At 40.7% G+C, this 22542-nt stretch overlaps 1 protein-coding gene and 1 pseudogene across 18 annotated transcripts in view; one reads left to right on the top strand and one right to left on the bottom strand.

Annotated features, from left to right (window-relative positions):
• ZMYM4 (zinc finger MYM-type containing 4) overlaps window positions 1-22542 on the bottom strand; it is a 153350-nt gene that overhangs the window by 120779 nt on the left and 10029 nt on the right. For 3 of the 18 annotated variants that reach the window (XM_047434271.1, XM_047434278.1, XM_047434282.1), the window contains exons 2-3: window positions 16574-16607; window positions 5292-5353 (exon numbers count right to left, since the gene is read on the bottom strand). The exons of 10 other annotated variants lie outside the window; for them this stretch is intronic. The gene's annotated coding sequence lies outside the window, so the exon portion shown is untranslated. The remainder of the gene's footprint in view (window positions 1-5291; window positions 5354-16573; window positions 16608-22542) is intronic. 5 more of the 18 variants (XM_017002803.2, NM_001350138.2, NM_001350140.2 and 2 more) reach the window with 2 other exon arrangements.
• RN7SL503P (RNA, 7SL, cytoplasmic 503, pseudogene) lies at window positions 8782-9084 on the top strand (annotated as a pseudogene).

Below are 22542 nucleotides of genomic sequence, written 5' to 3'. Positions count from 1 at the left end.
CCACCACACTCAGCCCAGAAGGAAAAGACCTTCTAACACATGGGGTATCACATGGGGCATCAAATATTCAATAGTATAGTAAAAAGTCAGCAGTAGGATAAAATTAGCTTTTGCCAAGAAGCTATTCTGGTGCCACCACGTAACAAAGATTAAAAGTAAGCCTCAAAAAGACTTGTTTATCTTATTATTTTTTAAGGCAGGGATACAGGGTACCAAAAATATCTGTTTCTAGTAACTTTACTGTATCCCAGAACAAAGCTTGAGAATAGTTAAGGGAATTTTTTTTTAAGTCCTGCACCCAACTAGGTAGAGGCCACAATGTCTAGCATTCAATCAAAAGCTACCAAGCATGCAAAGAAGCAAGAACAGCCAATTTATAATGAGAAAGGTTAATCAACAGAAACAGATCCAGAAATTATACAAATGATAAAACTAGTAGACCATTAAAAGAACTATTATAAATATATTCCATGTATTCAAGAAGGTAAAGGTGAAAGCATGAATATACTAAGGAGACACAAAGATATACATAAAAAGTACCCAAACTGAACTTAGAGATGAAAAACCCAATGTCTAAGATGAAAATTACACAGAATGGAACTAACAGAAAATTATACACTGCGGAAGATTGGTGAATTAGAACATACAGCAAAAGAAACAGTCCAAAATAAAAAGAGAAAAAAGGCTAAAGAAAATTAGTGAGCTATGGAACAACATCTAGTGATATAATATACATATAACTGGAGTCAATAAATATGCTAGGGAGAAGACAAAAAGATTTTGAAAATATAATGGCCAAAACTTCCCAATTTTATGAAAACTGTATACTCACAGAATCAGAATGCTCAATGAACCCTGTGCAGAAGTTTGAAATAAACCATACCAAGGCATAATCAAATTCCTGATAAAAAGTGATAGAGAATTCTTAAATGCAGCTGGGGGAAAATGGTATTACATCCAAAGGAACAAAAATAATAAGAGTAGACTCATAGAAGCAATGCTGAGGCAGGAAAATAGAATCTGGAGGCAGGGAACCTAAGGCCAATTCACACTGACTTCCCAGAGCTAAATCAAAAGGAAAACCCCAAATTTCCACACCTAAGTAACAGAAGGGCTGGAGGCTACTCCCTTTGCAAACCCCACTCTTTTTCTATGTGGCAGATGGAAAATTGAAAGAATCTCTGTTGCCGGGCATAGTGGCTCATGCCTGTAATCCCAGCACTTTGGGAGGCCAAGGTGGGCGGATCACGAGGTCAGGAGATCGAGACCATCCTGGCGAACACTGTGAAAACCCGTCTCTACTAAAAATACAAGAAAAATAGCCAGGCGTGGTGGCAGGCGCCTGTAGTCCCAGCTACTCTGTAGGCTGCGGCAGGAGAATGGCATGAACCCAGGGCACGGAGCTTGCAGTGAGCCGAGATGGCACCATTGCACTCCAGCCTGGGCAACAGAGCAAGACTCTGTCTCATAAAAAAAAAAAAAGAAAAGAAAGAAAGAAAGAATCTCTGTTGGTTGCTTTCTGCAACCAATCAGATGTTTGCATAAGAGTGTAACTTTGTAACTTCACTTTAGCCTTTGATTGGTTGCTTTCTGCAACTTACCAGGCAACTATTCAGACTGATTCCTGGCTAAGTCTTTGTTTGCACAGAAGTATAACTTTGTAACTTCACTTTAGCCTTTGATTGGTTGCTTTCCACAACCAGAGGTTTGCATAGGGTATAACTTTTGTAACTTAACTTCAGCCTCTCATTGGGGGCCACTACTTCATTTACAAAGGGTGTACACCAAGTAACCAATGGGAAACCTCTAAAGAGGATTTAAACCCCAGAAAATTCTGTAATGGCACCCTTGAGCCCCTATGCTCCAACCAGCTCCCACACTGTGAAGTTTACTTTCATTGTCAATAATCTCTGCTTTTTTTTTGCTTCATTCTTTTCCCGCTTTGTTTGTGTGTTTTGTCCAATTCTTTGTTCAAGACGCCAAGAACCTGAACACCTTCCATTGGTAACAATGCAATCCAGAAGGTATAGGAGCAACATCTTTAAAGTACTGAAAGTAAAGGAAAATGTCAATCTAGAATTCAAAATCCTGCAAAAATATCTCTCAAAACTACACCAGGTGTGGTGGTGCATACCTGTAATCCCAGCTACTCAAGAGACTGGGGCAGGAGGATCACCTGAGCTCAAGAATTTGAGTTCAGCCTGGGCCACATGGCAAGACTCTGTTTCTTAAAAAAAAAAAAAAAAAACTTTCAAAACTGAAGGCAAAATAAATACTTGTTCAGAAACAGAGAATTCATCACTACCAGACCAGTCTACAAGAGGTATTAAAGGAAAGTCCCTCAGCAGAAGGAAAATGACACCATATGAAAACAAGCATCTACCCTAAGTAAAGAGTATGGCAATGTAACTATGTGGGTTCTCACCAGTTACAAATGGATTGCCTCTCAACTCCAAACCCACTCTTCTCTGCCCTGCTTTACATAATGGAGATGGACCCTGCAAAACTTTCTCCTTTGCCAGCTGGCACAATGTTAACCTTTGTCAGTAGATGGCACTGGAGGAATACTCTAGAAGGAAGGGGCTTCTCTTCCTGTTAACACTGTTCTCTAGCCGGCTTGCTCCAGTGGAGGTGTTGTGCAGGACTCCAAATGGCCCTCCCAGAGACCAACTCCCCAGCAAGTCTCAGTGACACAGGCACACACGCATGAGTAGTTTCCTGACAAGTTTTGTCAGCACTCCAGAAAGCACCTACCCTGCAAGTTTCAGCAGCACCCCTATGGGAGACAGACTTCCCAGAGAATTTTGCCAGTGTCCCAGCCTATCTTCTTAGCCAGATTCAGCAAGGGGCTTCCTAGTGACTTTTTTTTGAGACACAGTATCCTCTGTTGCCCAGGCTGGAGTGCAGTGGTACAAACACAGTGAGTGCACTGCAGCCTTGATCTCCTGGCCTCAAGCAATCCTTCCACCTCAGCCTCTCAAGTAGCTGGGACCATAGGTGCACACCAGTATGTCCAGCTAATATTTTTATTTTTCGTAGAGATGAGGGACTCACCATCCTACTGACTTTTATTGGCACCCCAGGGGGGCATTTTTTAATTGCCAGCAAAAGCCTGCCCCACCTCAGATGTTTCCAGCATCCAGTGGACCACACCTTCTCCAACAAGATCTGAATCTCAGCCTTGAAGCTGGTGGGCTGGCCATCATCCAGATTTATTCCATCCTTGTTAACTTTGCCTCAGACCTAGAGGCAGTGGCCGCTCCCTCTACTGTTATTCTGTATCTTTAGCATTCTCTTTAAGCCTTAGAGTTAATTCCCCATTAATGGTAAATAATTCTTTATGTTAAACTTTCCATATTCAAATTACTGTGTGGTTTCTGTCCTCTGATACAGGACTGGTAGTGGCAGTGGTCATAGGAGACAGGCACACAAAAATGGGATTCAGAATTGCTTTTCGTTGTGTCCTTAGGCTTGAGTATAGGGCTCAAGCAGGAACTAGTTTGGTAATAATCCCACATATGCAGGGGCATCACAGTTAATCAGGCTATCACCTGTGGTTGGTGATGATGAAATGCCAACTAAAGCAAGTACCTTGGGAACCCAAATGGCTGTTGCACTTAACTAGTAAAGCAGTAATGATGGCTACAAAGTCTGTTATGTGAGATGAATTCTCTAAGTGCTCTTCTGCATTTCTGATGAAAATAACAAGTTCAGGTCCGTTAAGTCAGCTCAAGTCACAGTCAGAGAAAGAGAGACCTTTCAAGATAACCTTAAAAATATATATACATTTTTTTTTTTTTTGTGACAAGCACCCAGGCTGGAGTGCAGTGGCGTGACCTCGGCTCACTGCAACCTCAGCTCACAGCAACCTCTGCCTCCCAGGCTCAAACCATCCTCCCATCTCACCCTCAGGTGTAAGCCAAAATGCCTGGCTCATTTTTGTATTAATAATCTTAATTCTTATATAACCACAGGTTGATATTGCTGAAAATCAAATGCAAAATTTAATTGTGCAAACTGAATTACAAAATTAGTTGAATTCAGTCTCGCCAAGTTTATTGTGTGAAAGTGAGGGCAGACAGAACGAGACTCCATCTCAAAAAAAAAGAAAGAAAGAAAAAGTAAGAGCAGGCTGGGCGCGGTGCCTCACGCTTGTAATCCCAGCACTTTGGAAGGCCAGGGCAGGTGGATCACCTGAGGTCAGGAGTTCAAGACCAGCCTGACCAACATGGTGAAACTCCGTCTCTACTAAAAATGCAAACGTTAGCAGGGTGTGGTGGCGCACGCCTGTAATCCTAGCTACTCAGGAGGCTGAGGCAGGAGAATCGCCTAAACCCGGGAGATGGAGGTTGCAGTGAGCCAAGATGGCGTCACTGCACTCCAGCCTGGGCAATAAGAGCGAAACTCCCATCTCAAAAAAAAAAAAAAAAAAAAAAGAAAGAAAGAAAGAAAAAGAAAAGGTAAGAACAGTTACTGGGAAATAATGGGACCTTGAAACTTCAAATGGGAATATCTGGTTGGATCAGAATGAAACTGACTATTTCAAACTTCCACCTGCCCTCTGTATCTAAAAAGAATAGCCTTCTTTTGCTGGAAAATCATGTGATATCCTCATGTGCAATAGATGCCCTACAGGAGGACGTTCATTCTCATCAAAACCAACCACAGCTAACCCCGTCATCACTAGAGCCATAACTAGGGTCAAATCTCAGCATGTTGTAGGGGGACAGGTACACACAATGGAAACAGTTTTACAGGCCAAAAAATTCCAAGATTTTGCTAATATATAAAAGCAGAAATCTGAGGGACATGTGAAAACAGAGTCTCAGGATATTACACTAAGGTGGTTAGAATTTACTGATACGAGGTGCATGTAATACAGATTCTGAATTGAATATGTTAGCTTGTGTAGATGGAGGTATCGCTAGTGGCTTCTCTGGTTGTTGACTGAAACTTAGATTCAACAATAGTCTATATTTAATAAGACTGAGACAGTAGATTTCCCTGGCATTATCTGGAAGAGGGAATCCTGAAGTGGACTCATCCTCTGCAACCTGCACACCTACCACCCAACTACATTTCCTGAGAAGGCCCAGGGGTCATTCTGTTAGTAAGGGGAACACTCATCTTTGAAAAGTCCTGTGGCTGTTCTCCTTTGTAGGTCAGGGATAACCGCAGAAAATGCCACACTGAGATGGGCTCCTTGACTTCACCAAGGATAATGGGATACCAAAGTAGCAGAGGCCAAATGGCACTATTTAACCCCAAAGATAAGGACAGCAGGGACATACCGGTAATCAGAATGTTTTGGCCAGCAGGGATCTTTGGCAGTGGCTAATTGATCACGATGTTCCTAGGAATGAAATAGATGGGCAGTTTAATCTATATAACAGAAAAATGGCTAAATCTGGTGGCCAAAACCCAACTTGACTTATCACAGTGCAAGTCATGGGCATTTTCCCAGTTTCCAAAGTTAGTCAATTCACAGGCCCAGCCAGACTCTTGACTGAGGACAGACTGGGTCCTCTTGAGGAAGGACTCTGCACCATTACTGCAAGTATATACCATAAATCTTCCTCCAAGTCTTCCCCAAAGGAATTTATGTACCCATTTAGCAGAGCTGTGGTTCTTAACCAGAGCAATTTTGCTCCCCAAATCTAGAAAATCTGACAATGTCTGGAGGCAGTTTTGGTTGTCAGAGCTTGGGTGTGCTGTTGAAATCTAGTAGATAGAAACCAGGGATGCTGAAACGTCCTACAATGTACAGAACAGCCCCCACAACAAATTATCTGACCTTAAAAGGCCCTACATTATCTATAACCTGTTATTCCCCTGATCTCATCTACTGTTATTCACCACCTTGCTCACTCATGTTCAGCTACTGCCTCTATGCTGCCTCTTTGATGTTCACAAAACATATACAACACTCTCCTGCCTCATAATCTTTGCCCTTGCTGTTCCTTCTACCTGGAATGTTCCTCCTATCAGATACCCATATGACTTCTCATTTCTTTCAGATCTTTGCTTAACTGCCACTGTTCAGAATTGCAATACCCTCTCCACCGAAGTACACTGTATCTCTATTGTCTGCTTTATCTTCCTCTATAGAAATGTTTTATTTAAAATGTTGTACATTAATTATTTGTTTAGCAGTTATTCCCACCCCATCCCTGGAATGTAAACTCCATAGAGCAGAGATTTTCTCCATTTTATTCATTACTGTATCCTCCGTACCTACAATGGTTCCTCATGCATAACAGGCACTCAAACACTTGTTGAATGAAAGCATGAATGGTGACTGGAATAGAAATTAGGGATGTGAAGCACAGTGGAATCTAAAATGACTCAAGTGGTTATCTATTGTTTTTATCTGTTCAATACCTTGTTCTGAAAAGTCCGTTCTCTGATATTTCAAAGACATTTACCTTTTTCAAAATGTGACAATGTTTTCAATGTAGTCAAATCTCATTCTTTTGAATTAATTTTTTTTGTTTACGCTTGGAAAGCGTACCATCCCAAGATATTTACCTACATTTTCTTTCAGTACTTTAATAGTTTCATTTTCTTATATTCATATATTGAATTCAAATAGGATATGTATTGGCATTTGGAATAAGAAAAAGATCTAACTTTTTCCCCAAAATGGCCAGTAGACCATCCAAACACGAATGATCTATATACTCTACTGTTATATAGACATGAATCTGTTTATTTGTAACAATTCAGCATTCCCATACCAGTATCATATTTAAGACCCTACTATAGAACAAGGTTCTATATTCCCCTACTGCCCCCTGCCTTCATAATTCTTCTAATTCAAGATTGTCTTGCCTTTCACATATTATCCTGCCCTATCTATCATCAAATAGAATAATTTTTAAAACCCCTACTGGGATACTTAATGTAATAATATTAATTTTAATTAATTTTATGGAACACATACTTTTATAATATTGAGTTTTTCCATCCAGGAACATGATATACCACTCTATTTTTTTCCAAGTCCCAGAGTTTTCACACATTCTATGAAAAGATCATATAAAGCAGCAAGAAAGTTATTAAGATATGCCACAGTCAATTTCAAGAGAAAAGACTGAATGAAAGAATAATTGGAACAAACATTTTGATTCCTTTTTTTTTTTTTTGAGACAGTGTCTCACTCTGTCACCCAGGCTGGAGTGCAGTGGCGCAATCTTGGCTCACTGCAACCTCTGCCTCCTGGGTTCAAGCGATTCTCCTGCCTCAGCCTCCCAAGTAGCTGGGACTGCAGGCGCGTGCCACCACGCCCAGCTAATTTTTTGTGTTTTTAGTAGAGATGGGGTTTCACTGTATTAGCCAGGATGGTCTCGATCTCCTGACCTCGTGCTCCCAAAGTGCTGGGATTACAGGTGTGAGCCACCGTGCCTGGCCTGATTCTTAAATAATTCAAGTATTCCACAGAATGGAAGGCTAAAAAAGAGTATGTTTATTCCCACTTCCTAGCATCGACCTCCAGGGCTCCCATGACACTACCCTTGACTTCTACTCTTTCTCCTTGGCTTCGAGAAATTACCACCTAGTATATGCTAGGTATTTCATGTGCGCTAAACCTATCGAAACCTACTGAAACAGAATTAGACACTATCTGTATTTCCATTTAATCCATTAAAAAAGAAAAACCCACAGCCGGGCGCAGGAGCTCACGCCTGTAATCTTAGTACTTTGGGAGGCCGAGGCAGGTGGATCACCTGAGGTCAGGAGTTCAACATCAGCCTGACCAACATGGCGAAACCCCTCATCTCTACTAACAATACAAATATTAGCCAGGTGTGGTGGCGCATTGCCTGTAATCTCAGCTACTCAGGAGGCAGAGGCAGTAGAATCACTTGAACCCGGGAGGCACAGGTTGCAGTGAGCCAAGATCCTGCCACTACACTCCAGCCTCGGTGACAGAGTGAGACTCTGTCTCAAAAACAAAAACAAAAACCATGTTAATGGCATGGTATGGTGGTTCACACCTGTAGTCCTAGCACTTCGGGAGGCTGAGGCAGGAGGATCATTTGAGCCCAGGACTTTGAGACCAGCCTAAGTAACATAGGAAGACCCTGTCTCTACAACAAATAGAAAAAAAAATTAGCCGAGCATGGTGGCAGGTACCTATAGTCCCAGCTACTCAGGAGGCTGAGGTGGGAGGGTTGCTTGAGCCTAGGGGTTAGAGGCTGTAGAAAGTCATGATCATGCCACCATACTCCAGCCTGGGTGACAGAGCAGGAACCTGTCTCAAAAAAAAAAAAAATGTTAATGGTATCACAGACACAATTCTATTATGGTAGCAGTACCTACTCTACAATACTTCACCTTCTCCCTCATGTTCTACTTCAGAAGGTCTAGAATAGATAGGGCCTGGGCATTTTCATACTGTAAAGGCGGGAAGGCGGTGGGGAAATGGGGGAACTCCCCTGGGGGTTCTGAAGCACATTATTAATTAAAAACAACTAAATCGCAGGGCGCGGTGGCTCACGCCTGTAATCCCAGCACTTTGGGAGGCCGAGGCGAGTGGATCACCTGATGTTAGGAGTTAGAGGTCAGCCTGGCTAACGTGGTGAAACCCGGTCTCTACTAAAAATACAAAAAAATTAGCCAGGCATGGTGGCAGGTGCCTGTAATCCCAGCTATTCAGGAGGGTGAGGCAGGAGAATTGCTTGAATCCAGGAGGCAGAGGTTGTAGCGGCCTGAGATCATGCCATTGCACTCCAGGCTGGGCAACAGAGTGAGACTCTGTCTCAAAAAAAACAACTAACCGCTGCACGACGTGGCATATGCCCATAGCCCCAGCTACTCAGGAGGCTGAGGCAGGAGGATCACTTGAGCCCAGGAGTTCTGGGCTATAGTGTGCTAGCTATGCCAATTGGGTATCTGCACAATGGTAGACATCAATATGGTAACCTCCCAAGTGCAGGAGACCACCAGGTTACCTAAGGAGGAGTGAACTGGCTCAGGTCAGAAACGGAGCAGTTCAAAACTCCCATACTGATCAGTAGTGGGGTCGCGCCTGAGATTAGCTACTGCGTTCCAGCCTGGGCAACATACCAACACCCTGTGTCTAAAACTAAAACAAAAACACAAGACTAAACCAAGATATGCTTTCTCTTAGGTCTTCTGATGCTATCTATCTGCTGATTTCTAGAAAATTAAATTTGTGTGTCTGAATGTCTGTGTGTATATTCACTTGCCTCAATCTCTATCTTGGGCTTCAGTTCCCAACTAACTTTAGAATAGTCTTTACTTGCAAGACTCAAATAAAAACACTATGGTATCAAAGCGGGAATGTGGTGCAAAAAGGGCCTGCTAAATAGTAACAATCATGGCTGGGCACGGTGGCTCATGCCTGTAATCCCAGCACTTTGGGAGGTCAAGTAGATCACCTGAGGTCAGGAGTTCAAGACCAGCCTGGCCAACACATGGTGAAACCCTGTATCTACTAAAAATACAAAAAGTAGACAGGCGCGGTGGCAGGCACCTGTAATCCCAGTTACTTGGGAGACTGAGGCAGGAGAATCGCTTGAACTCAGGAGGCATAGGTTGCAGTGAGCTGAGATTGCACCATTGCACTCCAGCCGGGGTGACAAGAGTGAAACTCTGTCTCAAAAAAAAAAAAAAAAAAAAGTAACAATCACTACCACTACTATTATTGCTAATAACTGTAGCTATGTCTGGAGACAAAAGGGAAAAGAAAGAAAAAGCTGGTTCTTGAAGGAAGAGCAGGTAGAAAGACATCTGGAGACAGAAAAAAATAAAATGCTAAAAGGCACAGAAGTTAGATATGACACAAAAAGCATAATCCATAAAAGAAAAAAATTGATAAAGTAGACTTCATCAAAATAAAAAATTTCTGCTCTTTGAAAAACACTTAAGAAAATGAAGCTGATGTGGGAGGGTCACTTCAGGCCAGAAATATGAGACCAGCCTAGGCAACAAAGCAAGACCCGGCACCCTATTTCTGCAAAAAAAAAGAAAGTGAAAACAAGCCACAAACTGGGGGGAATATTTTCAAAACATTAATAAAGGATGTGTATCCAAAATATATAAAGAACTCTCAAAACACAATATAAGAAGACATACAGTATTTATATGATCCAGTAATCCTACTCCTTTTACCCAAGAAAAATGAAAACATGTTTATATAAAAACCCATGAACAAGAAATGAAAATGTACTGCATCTTGATTATAGTGCTAATTTTACCACTATATGCATATGTCAAACCTTACAGAACTGTACAATGAAAGGATGAATTTTACTCTATATAAATTATACTGTAATAAACCTTATTTCAAAAATATTTATCACATGCCTGAACCAGTAATTTAATTTCTAGAGAACTAGAGCTACAGACAGAAACTACATATAATGCTATTTGGTTTAGCTTCTTTTTTAAAAATAACAGCTTTATTGAGATATAATTCAAATGCCACATAACTCATCAATTTAAATTGCACAATTCAATTGTGCTTAGTATATTCAGAGCAGTACAATCATTACCACAATCAATTCTAGAATATTTTCATCCAGCCAGGCATGGTGGCTCATTCCTATAATCCCAACACACTTTGGAAGGCCAAGGCAGGAAGATTGTTTGAGGCCAGGAGTTCAAGACCAGCCTGGGCAACATAGCAAGACCCCAATCTCTACAAAAAATGAAAAATGAGCCAGGCATGGTGGCATGCACCTCTAGTCCTAGCTATTGGAGAGGCAGGAGGATCCCTTGAGCTCAGGAGTTCAAAGCTGCAGTGAGCTATGATTGCACCACTGCACCCCAGCCTGGGTGACAGAGCCGGATCCCGTCTCTAAAAAAATAAAAACTAAGTAAGTAAATAAGATCAGGAAACAGAACTGTACATGTGATGTTAACCATGTAAAAACACATACCTGCAAAGAAATATCCTAGAAAGAAATATGCTAAGCATAAGTACAATTAGTAGTTATGGCTGAATAAAATATGATTTTTAAAAAGACAAGAAAACTGGAAAGTCAGTCCAGGAGAGATGGCTCACGCCTGTAATCCCAGCATTTTGGGAGGCCAAGGCGGGTGGATCACTTGAGGTCAGGAGTTCAAGGCCAGCCTGGCCAACATGGAGAAACCCTGTCTCTACTAAAAATACAAAAATTAGCTGGGCGTGGTAGTGCGCATCTGTAATCTCAGCTACTTCAGAGGCTGAGGTGGGAGAATCACTTGAGCCCGGAAGCCAGGGGCTGCAGTGAGTTGAGATCGCACCACCGCACTCCAGCCTAGGTGACAGAGTGAGACTCCATCTGAAAGAAAAGAAAAGAAAAGAAAAAAAAGAAAAGAAAGAAAACTGGCAAGTCAATCACTATGATATATTGTCATAATTTATATAAGTGAATGGTATGAAAAGCAGCTATTATACATAGAATACAACAATCTAAAAAGGTCTTTAGGATATATGGTAAAAGTATCTGGACCAGTGGTATTCAACCAGGGGCAATTTTGTTCCCCAGAAGATACTGGTAATGTCTGGAGATATTTTTAGTTACCACAACTAGTGGGGCAGTGCTATTGACATCTTAGTTGATAGTGGGTTAAGTATGCAGCTGAATATCCCACAATGCACAAGACAATACCCCACAACAAAGAATTACCTGGTCCATAATGCCAACAGTGCCAACGTTGAGAACCCCTGATTCAGACTACACTGTAGGTGTTAAGTAATCACCAATTTTTAAATCAGTGGAGTGATCTAAAGTAAGGAAATAATAGCTTCCTCCTTCATCCCGACCACTGTGTATTCTTTCCCCAGTTTTCCTATCTCAATTAATGGTGCCACCAACTATCTAGCACTAACCCTGCTACCTAGGGGTTAGTGGTCTTCTTTATTTCACTACATTTATCAACAAGTCCTATTGACTGTACCTCCAAAATATATCCCAACCAATTCTCATCATCTACACTCTACTCCAATGATTACTTTCATACCTGAATTATACCAATAGCTTCCTAACTGACCCTCTGTTTCCCATCTTGCTCCCTGAAGTTCATCTCATATACAGGAGCCAAAAGAATCTTTTTAAGAGATCATACTCTTTAGATCATACACAAAAACCAACATGCTCAGAGAATTATCTATTCTTCCTACTGCAATCACTATCATATTATCTTATGCTGTCCTGTTTTCTTCACTACCTAAAATTATTTTCTCTATTTCTTTTTTATTTTCTATCTTACCCCCACCACTAGCACAAAGCTTAACTTCCTTATTATTCTTTGTCCAGCACTTGGAACCACATCTGACACATGTCCTAAATATTTGTTCAATGAATGAATCTCTTCTGTACTAATGGTCTATTTGTTCTACTGGAGACAGAGTAACAATAAATCTGAGCAGGAAGGAGACTGAATCTCCTAAAGTGAACTGATATTCCCAATGTTAGTCAGCCAGGACACAAATTATAGGTCATGAAATAAGGTCTTTGGAAGAAAGGAAAAAAATAAGTTAATTCCCCCAGATTTCAACCTGCTTCTGAGTTTCAAAGAAAAGATGCCCTCTGCTCACCATGAGACAACTGAAAGCTCAGCAAGTAGATGCTGCCTATTTCTCCTAGATCAGCCACACATAATACATATATAAATACATACATATTTGTTCTGCAATTCCCTATTATACTAAGTTTTTAATAAAGTCTGTTTTGAAATAATCACAGCCTGGTCTCAGCTGTGCTGGGTGGAATTAGGCAAAGATTCTGTCACCACAGAGGGTGGGGTCACGAGCAGGGCCTCTACCAAAGCTAGCGTGATAGTAGCAAAGACATTCAGAAAGAAACTCTCCCACAAAGAAAAAGTAAATTTCTGATAGGAGTCAGAGCTGTAAGGCAAGCTGCCTTTCGCCACAGGAAAAAACTCTGACCAATAACCACCTTAGAGAACTGGAATAATAAGGGAGCCAACTTGTTACCTCAAAGATAAACATGTTTTCATTTTAGAAGAAAAATCTGTCTCCAATGTGTAAAAATGAATGGGGTAGAGGAAACAGTAAAGAAGGGAGTGCGAAAAGAAGAGTTGTAAAAGCAAGGAAAGTCAAAAGACAAAACATGCAAAATGAGTACCAGAACTAAGGTGGTGGCAGTAGAACATCAAAAATGTTTTTAAAATCATACCTGATGTAGTATTAACAAGACTTAGCAATTAAAACTAAACAGTAAGGGAAAGGGAAGAAACAAAAGATGACTCACAGATTTCTAACTTGGGTGACTAGAAGCCAGTAACTAATAGAGATAATATGTGAAGAATAACAGACTGGGGCTGCAGAGGGCTATGATCTTGCCACTGCATTCCATCCAGGGCAACATAGCAAGACTGTCTCTAAAATAAAAATAAAAATAGGCCGGGAGTGGGGGCTCACGTCTGTAATCCTAGCATTTTGGGAGGCCAAGGCTGGTAGACCGCGAGGTCAGGAGTTCGAGACCAGCCTGACCAACATGGTGAAACCCCATCTCTACTAAAAATACAAAAATTAGCCAGGCATGGTGGCGCATGCCTGTAATCCCAGCTACATGGGAGGCTAAGGCAGGAGAATCGCTTGAACCCGGGAGATGGAGGTTGCAGTGAGCCGAGATTGCGTCACTGCATTCCAGCCTGGGTGACAGAGCAAGACTCCGTCCCCCAAAAAATAAAATAAAATAAAAATAAAAATAAAATAAATAGGAAAAATAACAAGTTGAGAAGGGGAGGGCACTAGGTGTGTGAGCAAGTAATTGGCAGGGAAGAAGGAAGTAGGAGTTCAGTTGTAGACATAGTGAATTTGCAGTATTTGTATGACAGCAAAAACACAAGATTTTTAGTTTTAAAGACAAAAACAGAAGCGAAGAAGTAAAATGGAAATCACATAATGTACTTAATGGGTAGATCCTAAAACTACTACTATAAGCCAGTGGCTGATGCCTGTAATCCCAGCACTTTGGGAGGCCAAGGAAGGAGGATCACTTGAGGCCAGGAGTTCAAGGCCAGCCTGGGTAATATAGCAAGACCCCATCTCTTAAAAAATACTAAGTAAAAAAAAAAAAAAAATTAAGTAAAACCACTATTGTAGAAGAGATTGCTCAAGAAAATACAAGCTGAGGGAATAACACTTATTGAGCACGCAAAAAGAGCAATTCAAGAGGAGAACCATGAGAATGCCATCTCATAAAACAAGGAAAAAGTCGAGGAAGGAAGGGCAACAGAAATAAGAAAGGTCAAATAAAGATCTAAGAAAAGTCAAATAAAATAATCTCTGAAAAGCATCCATTAGATTTGGTGATTATTAGATCATTTCAGTGTTCCTAAAGAGAAGAATTTCAGTGCCAAAACAGAAAGATAAGCTAGGGCCAGGCAGGGTGGTTCACACCTATAATCTTTGGGAGGCAGAGGTGGAGGACTGCTTGAGCCCAGGAGTTCAAGACCAGCCTGGACAACATATGGAGACCCTGTCTCTACAAAAAAAAAAAAAAAAAAAAAAAAAAAAAAAAAAAAAATTATTTAAATAGCCAGGCACAAGGGTATTGTCTGTGGTCCTAGCTGCTCAGGTGGGTGAGGTGGGAGGATTGCTTGAGCCCAGGAGGTCAAGCCTTCAGTGAGCCGTGATCATGCCACTGCATTCCAACCTGGGCAACAGAGTACGATCCTGTCTCTTAAAAAAAAAAAAAAAAAAAATAGGCAGACAGAGGCAGGCAGGCTCAGGAGTGAATGGGAAATAAGCAACTTACACCATCTCATAAAGATTCTAACTTCAAAAAGCTTGTCTGAGTTCAGGCTGTGGTCTCCAGATAACATCTTCCACTGAAAGGTACTGAGGCGTCTTGCAAAACAAGTTAATTCCAGGTCTGAAGTAGCGTATGTATAGATGAGCCTGGTTCTATTTTTTTGGCGGACGGGGAGGAATCTTTCAAGGACTATTGGAGTTAAGTCAAAGGGATACAGGTGTTTCAGTATTTTTTTTTTCTTCTTGACTCTAATGTAAATGAAATTGTTTTCTTAAAATTTCCTTTTGGGATTGTTCTAGTGTACATAAATACAACTGATTTTTGTGTGTTGATGCCATATCCTGCAACTTTGCTGAATTTCTTACTAACTTGCACAGTTTTGTTTTTGGCATAACTTTAAGGGTATTCTACGTATAAGATCATGTCACCTTTAAATAGAGATAGTTTTACTTCTTCCTGTCCAATTTGAATGCTTTTTATTTCCTTTTTCTTGCTTAACTTCTGGCTAGAACTTCTAATACTACACTGAATAGACATGGTGAAAGAAGGCATCCTCATCTTGTTCCTCATCTGAGGATAAAATCTCTCAGTCTTTCACCACTGAATATGATGTAAGCAATGATTTTTCATGGGTAGCCTTTATCATGTTGAGGAAATTCCCCTCTTTTCCTAGTTTATTAAAGTGCTTTTACAAAGGAAAGGATGTTAGCTTTTCTTTAATACTTTCTCTGCATCAACTGAGATGATTTAGTCATTCCTCAGTATCTGTGGGGGACTGGACCCTGGACCCCCCAAAGATACCAAAATCCTTGAATGCTCAAGTCCCTTATATATAGTATTTGCATATAACCTACACACATCCTCCTATACAATTTAAATCATCTCTAGATTACTTATAACACCTAATACAATGCAAATACTATGCAAACAGTTGTTATACTCTATTTTTAAATGTTGTATTTTTTTTCCTCTGGTCCTTGATTAAGGAATAAATTTGTATTACCTTTTATTTTTTTTTCCAAATATTTTTGATCTGCAGATGTGGAACTCATAGATACAAAGGACAGACTGTAGTGAGTTCTTTTTTTTCTTCATTCTACTAATGTGGTAGATTATACTGATTGATACTTGAGAAAAATTTAACCAAGGAAGCACAAGACTTGTACACTAAAAGACCTGTACAAAACATTGCTGAAAGAAATAAAAGAAGACCAAAATAAATGGAAAGACATTCCATGTTCACAGACTGGAAGACTTAACATTGTTAAGATGACAGTAACTACCCTTGATTTACAAATTCAATTTTGATCCCTGTCAAAATCCTAATAACTCTTTTTTCAGAAATAGGAAAAAACCATCCTAAATTTCACGTGAAATTTCAACACACCCCAAATAGCCAAAACAATCTTGAAAAAAAAAACTTGAGGACTCCTACTTCCTAATTTCAAACCTACTACAAAGCTACAGTAATCAAAACAGTGTAGTACTGACACAAGAACAGGCATATAGACAAATAGAACAGAACTGAAAGTCTAGAAATAAACTCTCGCATTTGTCGTTGTTATGGTCTGAATGTTTGTATCCCTCCTCCCCAGATTCATATGTTGAAGCCTTAACCCCCCATGTAATAATACTTGGAGAGGGGGACTTTAAAAGGTAATCAGCTAGATGAGGTAGTGAGAGTGGAGCTCTCATGATGTGATTAATGCCCTTCTAAGAAGAAACACCAGAAAGCTTACACTCTCTCTCACCTCACAAACACTAAGAAATCACATGAGCACAGAGCAAGGTAGTGGCTACCTACAAGCCAAGAGAAAAGGCCTGAAAATAAAACCTACCTGTGGGCACTTTGATCTTGGACTTCCCAGCCTCCTGAAATGTAAGAAATAAATTTGTTGTTTAAGCCACCCAGACTATGATACTGTGTTACGACAGCCCAAACTGATACGATGGTCAACTGACTTTCAACAAGGTTTCCAGGACCACTCAATGGGGAAAGAACAGGCTCTTCAACAAAAGGTGCTATGAAACCTGGATATTCATACACAAAAGATTGAAACTGGACACTTACTTTGTACCATAAACAAAAATTAACTCAAGATGGATTAAAGACCTAAATTAAAGACCTAAACACTAAAACTCTTAGAAGAAAACATAGGGAAAAATCTACATGAACTTAGATCTAGCAATAGCATCTTAAATATGATACCAAAAGCATAAGCTACAAAAGAAAAACACAAATTGGATTTCATTAAAATTTAAAACTTTTGGCCGGGCGCGGTGGCTCACGCCTGTAATCCCAGCACTTTGGGAGGCCGAGGCAGGTGGATCATGAGGTCAGGAGATCGAGACCATCCTGGCTAACAAGGTGAAACCCCGTCTCTACTAAAAATACAAAAAATTAGCAGGGCGCGGTGGCGGGCACCTGTAGTCCCAGCTACTCGGGAGGCTGAGGCAGGAGAATGGCGTGAACCCGGGAAGCGGAGCTTGCAGTGAGCCGAGATTGCGCCACTGCAGTCCGCAGTCCAGCCTGGGCGACAGAGCGAGACTCCGTCTCAAAAAAAAAAACAAAAAAACAAAAAAACTTTTGTGCATCAAGGCCACTATCGTGAGGGTGAAAAGACAATCTACAGAATGGGAAAAAAATATTTGTAAATTATTTTTGTGATAAGAGTTTAATATTTAGAATATAAAAACAATTCCTAAAACTCAACAACAAAAAAGACAAGCAATTAAAAAACATGCACAAAGGACTTAAATTTGTGCAATTAAAAAACATGCACAAAGGACTTAAATAACATTTCTCCAGAGAACATATACAAAAGGCCAATAAACACATGAAAAAATGTTCAGCATCATTAGTCACTGGAAAAATTCAAATCCAAGCCACAGTAAGATACCACTTCAAGGCCGGGTGCAGTGCCTCACACCTGTAATCCCAGCACTTTGGGAGGCCGAGGCGGGTGGCTCACGAGGTCAGGAGATCAAGACTATCCTGGCTAACATGGTGAAACCTGTCTCTACTAAAAATACAAAAAAATTGGCCGGGTGTGGTGGTGGGCGCCTGTAGTCCCAGGTATTCGGGAGGCTGAGGCAGGAGAATGGCGTGAACCCAGGAGGTGGAGCTTGCAGTGAGCTGAGATTGCGCCACTGCACTCCAGCCTGGGCGACTGAGCAAGACTCCGTCTCAAAAAAAAAAAAAAAAAAAAAAAAAAAAAGATACCACTTCACACCCACTAGGACAGTTATTAACCAAAAATAAAAGACTTTGAAAGGCCGAGGTAGGTAGATCGCTTGAGGTCAGGAGTTCAAGACTAGTCTGGCCAACACAGTGAAACCCCATCTCTACTAAAAGTACAAAAAAAAAAAAAATTAGCCAGGCATGATGGCACACACCTGTAATCCCAGCTACTTGGGAGGCTGAGGCAGAAGAATCACCTGAACCCAGAAGGTGAAGGGTGGAGGTTACAGTGTGGTGAGATGGCACCACTGCACTCCGGCCTGGGCAACAGAGTAACACTCTGTCTCAAAAAAAAAAAAAAAAAAAAAAAAAAAAAAAAAAAACCACACACACAGAAAACAACAAGTATTGGTGAGGATGCAGAAAAGCTGGAATCCTCATGCATTGCTGGTGCAAATGGAAAATGTTATAGCCCCTGTGCAAAAGGTTCCTCAAAAAGATAAACACAGGCTGGGCATGGTGGCTCACACCTGTAATCCCAGCACTTTGAGATGCCAAGGCAGGTGCATCGCTTGAGCTCAGGAGTTCAAGACCAGCCTTGGTAACATGGCCAAACCCCATCTCTATAAGAAAAACTAAAATTAGCTGGGCATAGTGTTGCACATCTGCAGTCCCAGCTACTTGTGGGGCTGAGGTGGGAGGACAGCTTAAACCAGGGAGGTAGAGGCTGCACTGACCCATGATCACACCACTGTACTCCAGCCTGGACAACAAAGTGAGACCCTGTCTCAAAAAATGAATAAATAAATAAATAAGGATAAACAGAATTCCTATATAACCCAGCAAATCCATTTCTAGGTACATACCTGTACTAGTCTGTTTAGTCTTGCTGTAACAGAATACCTGAGGTTGAGTAACTTATAAAGAAAAGAGGTTTATGTAGCTCACAATTCTGGTGGCTGGGAAGTCCAAAAGCATGGCACTGGTGTCTGCTTAGCTTTTGGTGAGGGCTATGTGCTGCACCACAGCATGGAAAAGCAAAAAGGCAAGGGGGCAAAGAGACTTACAAAAGGTAGAACCTTGCTTGTAACAACTCATTAGGGCAGTGTCCCCACTATCCAAACACCTCCCACTAGGGCCCACCTCCTAATACTGCCATATTGGGAATCAAATTTCAACATGAATTTTAAAAGACACTCATTAAAACCATCACAATACCAGAAGGAAGTGAAAGCAAGGACTCAAACAAATACTTACATACCAATGTTTATAGCAACATTACTTACAATAGCCAAAAGGTGTCTATTGATGGATGAATGGATAAACAAAATGTATATGCACACAATGGAATATTTTGCAGCCATAAAAAGGAATGAGAAGTTCTGATACATACTATAACTGGATGAACCTTGAAAATATGCTAAGTGAAATGTCAGACACCAAAGGATAAATATTGTATGAGTCCACTTACATGAAATATCTAGAATAGGCAACTTCATAGACACAGAAAGTAATTTAAAGTTTACCAGAGGCTGGCGCAAGGGACCATGCAGGGTTACTGCATAACATGTAGAGTTTCTATTGTGGGTGAAATGAATAATGGTAATGATTGCACAATATTGTTTATGTACTTAATGCCACTGAATTATACACTTAAAGTTGTTAAAATGGTAAATGTTATATTATATATATATATATATATTTATTATATGATTTGCTTTTTGAGAAGTTATAATTGCACAAAATTAAGGGGGTACACAGTGGTGTTTTGATACACACGTATGTATACGGTGTGGAATGACTGAATCAAGCAAATTAGCATATCCATCACCTTAAATACTTATTCACACCACCTAACTACAACTTTCTACTCTTGGACCAATATCTTCCTGTCCCTCCCTTCCATCCCCCATGCTCTGGTAACTATAATTCTACTCTCTGCTTCTATGAGTTCTATTGTTTTAGATTCCACATTAAGTGACAAGATGCAGTTTTTGTCTTCCTGTGCCTGGCTTACTGCACTTTGTTATGTACATTTTAACACATTTTTTTAAACTTAAGGTAATTTTTTTTTTTTTTTGAGATGGAGTCTCGCTCTGTCACCCAGGCTGGAGTGCAGTGGCACAATCTTGGCTCACTGCAACCTCCGCCTCCTGGGTTCAAGTGATTCTCCTGCCTCAGCCTCCCGAGTAGCTGGGATTACAGGCACGTGCCACCACGCCTGGCTAATTTTTTGTATTTTTAGTAGAGACAGGGTTTCACTGTGTTAGCCAGGATGGTCTCGATCTCCTGACCTCGTGTTCCGCCCGCAGTGGCCTCTCAATGTGCTGGGATTACGTGCGTGAGCCATCGCACCCGACCTGTGATTTTTTAAATATAAAAAAATCAATTTTTAAAAAGGATCGAGGTGCCGACCTTGAAGACCATGTTGTGGGTTAAATTGTGGTCCCCAAGAGATATGTCCACCCAGATCCTCAGAATATGACTTCATTTGGAATAAAGTTCTTTGCTGGTGTAGTTAATGTAAGGGTCTTGAAATGAGATCATCCTGAATTAGAGTAGGCCCTAAATCCAATGAAGAGTGTCCTTAGAAGAGACAGAAATGAAGACAAGAGAGACAAAGAGATAATGCCATGTAAAGACAGAGGCAAAAACTGGAGTAATCTACCACAAATCAAGGAACACGTGGGACCACCAGAGGCTCAAAGAGAGGAGGAAGAATTCTTCCCTAAAGGCTTCAGAGAAAGCATGGCCTTGCCAACATCCTGATTTCAAACTTTTAGCCTCCAGAACTGTGAGATGATAAATTTCTTTAATTTTAAACCACCAAGTTTGTGGTAATTTCTTATGGCAAACCCAGGAAACTAATTCAGATTTTAGTACATGGAAGTGGAGTGCTGCTTTAATATCTAAAAATGTGAAGGTGGGCCAGGCATGATGGCTTATGCCTGTAGTCCCAACACTTTGGGAGGCCAAGGTGTGAGGACTGCTTGAGCTCATGAGTTCGAGATCAGCCTGTGCAACATGGTAAAACACCATCTCTATTAAAAAACTTTTAAACAAAGAAAGAAGAGAGAGAGAGGGAGAGAGAGAGAGAGAGAGAAAGAGAGAAAGAAAGAGAGAAAGAAAGAGAAAGGGAAAGGAAGAGAAAGGAAGGGAAGAAAGGAAGGGAAGGGAAGGGAAGGGGGGAAGGGAGGAAGGGAGGAAGGAAGAAAGAAAGAGAGAGAGAGAGACAAAGAAAGAAAAGAAAGTAACAAAAAGAAAGAGAAAGAGAGAAAAAAAAATGTAAAGGTGGCTTTGAAATTGGGTAATGGGCTGAAAGAGTTTTGAGATGCATGATTTTAGAAAAGTACAGACTGCCTTAAAGACATGGTGGTAGAAATACTGATGTCAAAGGCAATTCTGGTTAGGGTTTAGAAGGATGTGATGAGCAACTAAGAGAAAGCTTCTGTAGTCTTAGAGAATACATACACAGAATTGTGAACATTTTGGTTCATATCAATATTTTGGTTAAGGATGCTTCTGTTGCTGTCTCAGAAGTAAATAAAGAATATGTGACTGGGAACTGGAAGAAAGGTGAGCTATGTTATAAAGTGGCTGAACTATGTTCTACTGTGGGATAGAAAGGAGAATCTGGAAGCCATGAACTTGAATATTTAGCCTAGGAGATTTCCAAGCAAAGTGCTGAAGGTACAGCTTGGTTCCTCCTTGATATTTATAGTAAAATACAAGAAGAAAGAGATAAATTGAAGAAGGAACTTTAAGCAAAAGGAAACAACGATTAACTGGGAGGTTCTCAGATTATTCAGAATACAAAGGATGCGGAAATTAGGAAATTCACTGTTAGAAAAGTGTGTTCTAGAGAGCAGGCCACGTGGCTGGACAACCATATGCTGAAGATACTAGCAGTGTGACTCATGGATCCCATCAATCATCTCAACAGAAACGAGGAATGGAGATGGGGTTATCAGTAAGGAACTGTGAAGAATCCTCTCGTCTAATGATATGGACCCCCTTGATATGTAAGGAGACTGACAAGGTTTTAAAGAATATCATACCAACAAAAATGCTGTCAGCCTGTACTGAAAGGAACAGAGATGGGACAAAATTTTTTAAAGTGTCTTACTTCTGGGATTTTATAGGCAAGAAATGGGCTAATACAGTTACTCAACTACAAACATGTGCAACCCTTCAGGGAAAAGTAAAAATGACTGAAGGCGAGCAGCATAGTGGGGGTTGGGGGTAGGGGAGAAACAGGCCCACACCAGCTGCAGACAGAGCCTCCATGGGCCCAGAGGGCAGAGGATCAAGCCACAGAGGATTATTCTCAGGCCCTGAAACCTAGAGAAATTTGTCCTGCTGAGTTTTGAACTTGCTTGAAACCGGAGATCCTTTATTCTTTCCATTTTCTTCCTTTTGAATGGGAATGTCTATCTTAACAGCTGTCTCATCCTCTCATCATTGTATTTTGGAAGCAGATAAGTTGTTTTCCAGTTTCACAGGTCCACAGATGGAGAATTTTATCCCAAATGAATCATGCCGAGTCCATACTCTTACCTAATTTAGATGATTTAAGACAATGAGATTTCAAACTTTTTGAGGTTATAATATTTGGAGATTTTGGAC

Source organism: Homo sapiens, chromosome 1 (assembly GCF_000001405.40).
Source record: "Homo sapiens chromosome 1, GRCh38.p14 Primary Assembly".
Classification (NCBI taxonomy): domain Eukaryota; kingdom Metazoa; phylum Chordata; class Mammalia; order Primates; family Hominidae; genus Homo; species Homo sapiens.
This window is presented reverse-complemented; position numbering and strand designations above follow the sequence as displayed.